Source organism: Homo sapiens, chromosome 3, assembly GCF_000001405.40.
Source record: "Homo sapiens chromosome 3, GRCh38.p14 Primary Assembly".
NCBI classification, from domain to species: domain Eukaryota; kingdom Metazoa; phylum Chordata; class Mammalia; order Primates; family Hominidae; genus Homo; species Homo sapiens.
Window position 1 is genome coordinate 33,877,767 of NC_000003.12, and position 5,900 is coordinate 33,883,666.

Consider the following 5,900-nt stretch of genomic DNA (forward strand, 5'->3'; position numbering starts at 1 on the left):
TTTTTTGCAATTTACTTTTTTTCTTTTACATTCTCAACATAGCAAAATACTGTAAGAATGATTAGGGACTGACATTTTTAATAAAATCATCACTAAGTTTTACTTCTCAATATACTCTTTTTTTATAGAGAATGTTGTTATATGTCCAACCACTGATTTTTGGTTCTTGTGAAGTGCTTTCTTTTGTGGATAGTTGTTCAATTTGGTGTTCCTGCAGAGGGGATGATGGCTGGAGGCTTCTATTTGGCCACCTTGCTCCATCTCTCCTATTTTAGGCTTTTTGATAAATCTCTGTGCAGTTTTCCATAGTGGCTGTACTAGTCTACATTCCCAGCAACACTGTATAAGAGTTCCCTTTTCTTCGGATCCTCACCAACACCTGTTATTTTTGTCTTTTTAATAGTAGCATTCTGACTGGGTAAGATGACATCTCATTGTGGTTGTGATTTGTATTTCTCTGATGATTAGTGATGTTGAGCATTCCAAAACATTTTCAAATATGGCCATGATATTTTATGATTTGGTACAATCTTTACTGATCTCACATTTTCCCCTGTAGATAGTAGCTGCTTGATTTCACTGATATCATGGTAGCCACTCTTTTTTATATAATCGTTGTTAGTTGAAAATTAGCCCCCTGTTCCTGCAAGGATTCCCCCTCCCCATTTCCTTTAGATGTTACGTAACCTGAGCTAGAAATAATGCAGCGCTGTTAGAATTTAGCAAAACAACTCTAGGATGTGTGTTTACGCAGAATGTATGCCATACCAGCCCCCACAGTCAACCCCCATAAACCACCCCAGCGTATGAGCTCAGGGCTGCCTCCTCTGCCTGTCAAGGAGCAGCCCAGCAGGTCAGTAAACTCACTTGCTTGACTTTGGGTCTACTGGTCCTTTCTCTTGGCTGACTTTACAATAGTGACTCGCTCAACATCAACTATGTATTTGCACTTGCTAGTTCTAAGCACTGGTGAGTGTTTGAATAATTCATTTTGTTTTTACTTTTCAGAGACAGTCTCACTCTGTTGCCCAGGCTGGAGAGCAGTGACATGATTATAGCTCACTACAGCCTCGATCTTCTGGGCTCAAAAACATCCTCCCACCTCAGCCTCCCAAGTAGCTGGGAATACAGGTGTGTGCCACTTCACCTGGCTAATTTTCAATTTTTGTTTTTGTAGAGATGGGGGTCTAACTATTTTGCCCAGGCTGATCTTGAACTCCTGGCCTCAAGTGATCCTCCTGCCTTGGCCTCCCAAAGTGCTGGGATTACAGGTGTGAACCCCCAAAATATGAGCCAGGTCTGAGTTAATTTAGAAAGTTTATTTTGCCAAGGTTGAGGACATGTGCTTGTGACACAGCTTTAGGAGGTTCTGACGACACGTGCCCAAAGTGGTCAGAGCACAGTTCGGTTTATACATTTTAAGGAGACATGAGACATCAATTAACATATATAAGATGAACATTGGTTTGGTCTGGAAAGGGGGACAACTTGAAGCAAAGGTAGGAAGACTCAAGCCGGGAGGGGGCTTCCAGGTCATAGGTAGATAAGAGACAAATGGTTGCGTTCTTCTGAGTTTCCGATTAGCCTCTCCAAAGGAGGCAATCAGATGCGCATTTATCTCAGTGAGCAGAAGGTTGACTTTTAATAGAATGGGAGACAGGTTGGCCCTAAGCAGTTCCCAGCTTGACTTTTCCCTTTAGCTTAGTAATTTTGGAGCCCCAAGATTTCCAAGATTTTCCTTTCACACAGGCATGAGCCACCATGCCCAGCCAGTAGTAATTCATTGAAGTTTCATATGAACCCTATGAAAATGGTATTTTTTCATTCATATTCATTGAAAACAGAGGAGTCAGCTTCATTGTAGAGAAGCTGAGCAACTTGTCCAAGGCCACATGGCTGCCAAGTAGCTGAGCTGGGGCTCAGGTTTCTTTCACCCTGTTGCCTCTCATCTGAACTGCTCCAACAAGTGTAGCTTCCTCTTGACTGCTGCTCTTGCCTCTGCCGCTGAAAACAGCTAATGTTTATAGAGCGCTTGTCATGTTACAGGTCCTCTTCTAAGAATTTAAAGTCCATTAACTTATTTTAGCTGAGCACCACTTGTGAGGTGGCCACTGATTTGATCTCTCATTTTACAGGAGAGGAAGAAACAAGGCACAGGGGAGCTTGAGTACCTGGGACTGGCCTGTGATGAAGCTGGGATCTCACTGCAGTTAGATGTTAGTTTTCAAAGTTTCTCCTGTTTCATGGAGTTTTGTTTTGTAGAAAGACTTTTGTTCTCATTCCTTCATTTTTTTTTTCTTCCCAGTCATTCAAAACTATATGTTGAGAGACTACTTACTCTTCTAGGTGCTGGGGATTAAACTGTGCCTGGGAATTTGCATTCCAGAAGAGAAGGATATTGAACTAGAAGGATAGGTTTGCAAGTGAATACTGTATTAAGATGTGAATTTGTGGGTGGCAGTGCTCTTGTATTTGTCCCTGTTTTCATCTCCAGCCAGGTGGCTAAACCCGTTGCATATTCCTGCCCCTGGGATTGTTTGTTGGGTTGGAGGGTGGGTGGGAGCAGAAGCTGGGGTCTCTGGCAGGAGTCAAAGGGAGTGGTAACATTTCAGAGGGGATGAGGTTTTGGTTTAGGAGATCACAGCATTCCCAGAGGTATCATGCTTCAAACGCAGTGGAGCTTCCACATCTGAAGGGACAGCGAGGCCAGGCAGCAGCCCAGGGAGTGCCTGGCAACCCCTGGGGTATTTGTGTGGGGAACCAGTAATTACTGAGACGGAATTTCTCAGCACCCTGAGGAATGAGCTTCTGAGGCAGAAACAAATTCAATCAATCAATCAATCAATCAATCAATCAATCAGTGAATATTTCTTGTGTCCCTGGATTGGTGGGCTTCAATTCACATCCACCCACCACATTTGGTCCATCTCTGGAATGGCAAAGAATATTTACATCACACACAACTGCACCCCATGGTCTGATGATGACGCCCATTGGAGATTTGCTGAGCAGAAATAAGGCTCTCAGAAGCCGCTGTTGGGAAGGGGATGAAGACGAAGCTGAGTTTGAAGAGCAGCCTGAATGCTCTCACCCACTGGTCAGATGTGAGGGTCACCAGAATGGAGAGGAGGTAAATCACTTATTCCACAGTGTTGAGATTCTTCCGTCTTTCTTTCTTTCTTTTTTTTTTTTTTTCTTATTTCCCAGGCAAAATACCCTATGACTGAGAGAGAAGAACCTGAATCCTGGCATTCAAGAATATTCCTACAGTGGCCCAGCCTGGTCATGCCATGTAAGGCCTAGGCCAATGCATTGCCCCACCTGTGGGGAAGGCTGTTTTGTCATGGTGGAAATGAACCCACTGGAAACAATGGGTGTTTTGGGGAGAATGAAGCTCCCACTTGGCCCCAGTAGAAGAGCATTCGAGTCTTGCTGGGGCCCATTTCTGAGATGCACCAGAAGTTAATCAACTTTTTAGTGTCAGAAGACGCTTATTTGATCCCTGGGGCCCATTTTTGAGATGCACCAGATCAGAGGCTGAGAAACTGCAGAGCTCAGTGACATCACAAGGGTGAGGCCCTCGGGCCCCAGGGCTTTCAGAGCACAGGAAGGTTCAGTGCTGAGTCTGACTACTCAGAGCTCCAGAGTAGGCTTTCTTGATGCTGCAACCATCACCAGCACACAGTGGGCTGCCGAAAAGTGTCTGCACCTACCCAGTGAGGACAGGGTGCAGGGGCTCGTCCTCAGTGCTAGACTTCACAAGCCAGGGCTGTGTCTTCAGAACCGGTGTGGACAAACCTGAGTGGCATATCCCATTCCAAGCTCTATCTGACAGACCCTCACCCTCACACCTGCTCCCAACCACAGACGCTGTAAAGGCTGGGTACTAACGGGTGACGGAAACCAGTCAAAGAGAAAAGCTGATTTTGGTGGCTCGCACCCAGGCCTTGCTGTTCAGGCCAGCACATGCTGACATGTCACCAAAGCTAATTATCCTGAAGGACCCTCCCAAACTCCTGGGAAATGGGCTTTTGATTCTGGGTCCCAAGAGTGAGGGTCTACCCTCTGCCCTTTGTGGGAGGCGGGGGCCTACCGGTGGGGGGCACGGTGAGGTTAGCCAGGCATACCGTCCTTGGGGATTGGTCCTGACAAGGCCACTGGGACATGTGGGGAGACATGGGACATTTCACAGGGTGTTCAGCCATCAAGAAATCTTGCAGTTGATGTTAATGGCTGAGGAGTGCTTGGGGGCAGGAATCCAGGGTGGGCCTAAGAGTAGTTGGTAGTACACCACTGGTGCTCCTTCCTAGGGGAGACTGCTGCCCTCTCTGTGTGTGCTTTCATGTGGAGTGGGGAAGGTGGTGCTTGTGCCGGCTGGGCAGTGGAGCATTTCAGACAAAGAGGCATGTGTTGAGGGGTTCAGAGGTGAGAAGGGGCAGCAGGCAGGAGACCTCAATTAAATGTAAAAAGCCTCAAGAAATTGTAAGCACAGGAGAGCAGTGGTCAGATGAGGGTTAGATAGCTCAGCAGGGAGAAGGAGTACATTTGGACTTGATGCGGAATTCCTTGGCAGATTAGAGGCTTATAGAGAGGGGTCTGGGTGCTCCATCCAGGGCGTCCTTTGTGGGCCATGGGTGCTGTGCTGTGGGAGTCACTATCTGTGGCTGTGGGGCCTTCAACTGACCTTCAGTCTTGCCTACTCGCTGCCTCTCCCAGAGGCACGGATACAACAGGGAGCCTCCCTGTGGACTGGCTTTTCTCCCCAAGCCGTGGGGACCCATGGGGTCTTCTGGGAGGCAGTGGTGGCCTCACCACCAAGCAGCCGTATGACTCTGGGCAAGACTTTTGCATCTAAGCCTCCATTGCCTCACTGTTGAAATGAGAGTAATAATCCCTTCTTGAGAGTGGTAGAAAGCTGAACAGACTGGCCCTGGTAGGTGCTCAGACACTTGGCTGTTTTAATTATTCCTAGTACAGGCAAACCTGCCCCCACCACCCCACGCTTGTGGAGACTTTGCTGGGTTTATTGGCCCTCCTCTGCCCCCAGTCCTCTCTACACTTTATTTTGCTGAAATTCACTTCAACAGGGGGATGTTCAGCCAAGACAGGACAGAAGCTGGTGCTCCTGACTTTTTTGGATTTGCTTCAGCTGGATACAATGTTTTGGGTTGACCATTTAATTCAGATTTCCTAGTTCTCACACACCTTGGAGGATTTTTCCCCGGAAATACTACGAAAGTGGTAACTTCGCCTCGTGTAGAGAGACTGCTCAATGAATAAATTAAGCTAGATTAGAACAGCTGGGTTTCACCAAGCCCAAGGGGCCCAGGAACAGAATTCAAAGGATCAGTGAACTAGAGGGCCAGGCATGGTGGCTCACACCTGTAATCCCAGCACTTTGGGAGGCCGAGGCTTCAACAGCTCAATGAACTAGAATGGGAGATTAGAGCTTAACTTTTGAAATTTAGAATTTCCTTCAGTTATAAATAGCAACAAACCAACCTTTGTAGTATTACCAGAAACTGAGACTTTATTTCTAGAAATCTCAGCTTTTCACATATTGTTACAGCTGCCACTGATTTCTCAAAATGTCATTTATGCCCATCATAAAGGAGCATATCATGAATTTATGGTAATTAGACCTGCCACTAGGTCTTGTTATTTACTGTGTTAAAAAAGAACATCTATCTGCATAGCCCCCACTTGTTTCATAATTGGATAAATTAATTGAAATGCAATTAGTTTTCTTTGTAATTATGAATTTCGGAAGAAGTCCATAGGCTTCTTCTGACACTAAAAAATTGATAAACTTCTAGACATTGGAGAACTGGAAGGATAAAGTGGCAATTCCCAGTTTAGCCACAAGAGGGAACTATTTCACAACTTATGTTTAGAAAGAT

General features: G+C 46.0%; 1 long non-coding RNA gene across 1 annotated transcript; it reads left to right on the forward strand.

Annotated features, from left to right (window-relative positions):
- Window positions 1–1,087: 1,087 nt before the first annotated feature.
- On the forward strand, window positions 1,088–2,509 carry LOC105377024 (uncharacterized). Its single transcript, XR_940701.3, has 3 exons — window positions 1,088–1,131; window positions 2,136–2,216; window positions 2,347–2,509. It is a non-coding gene; the product is annotated as an uncharacterized LOC105377024 (long non-coding RNA).
- Window positions 2,510–5,900: the final 3,391 nt, after the last annotated feature.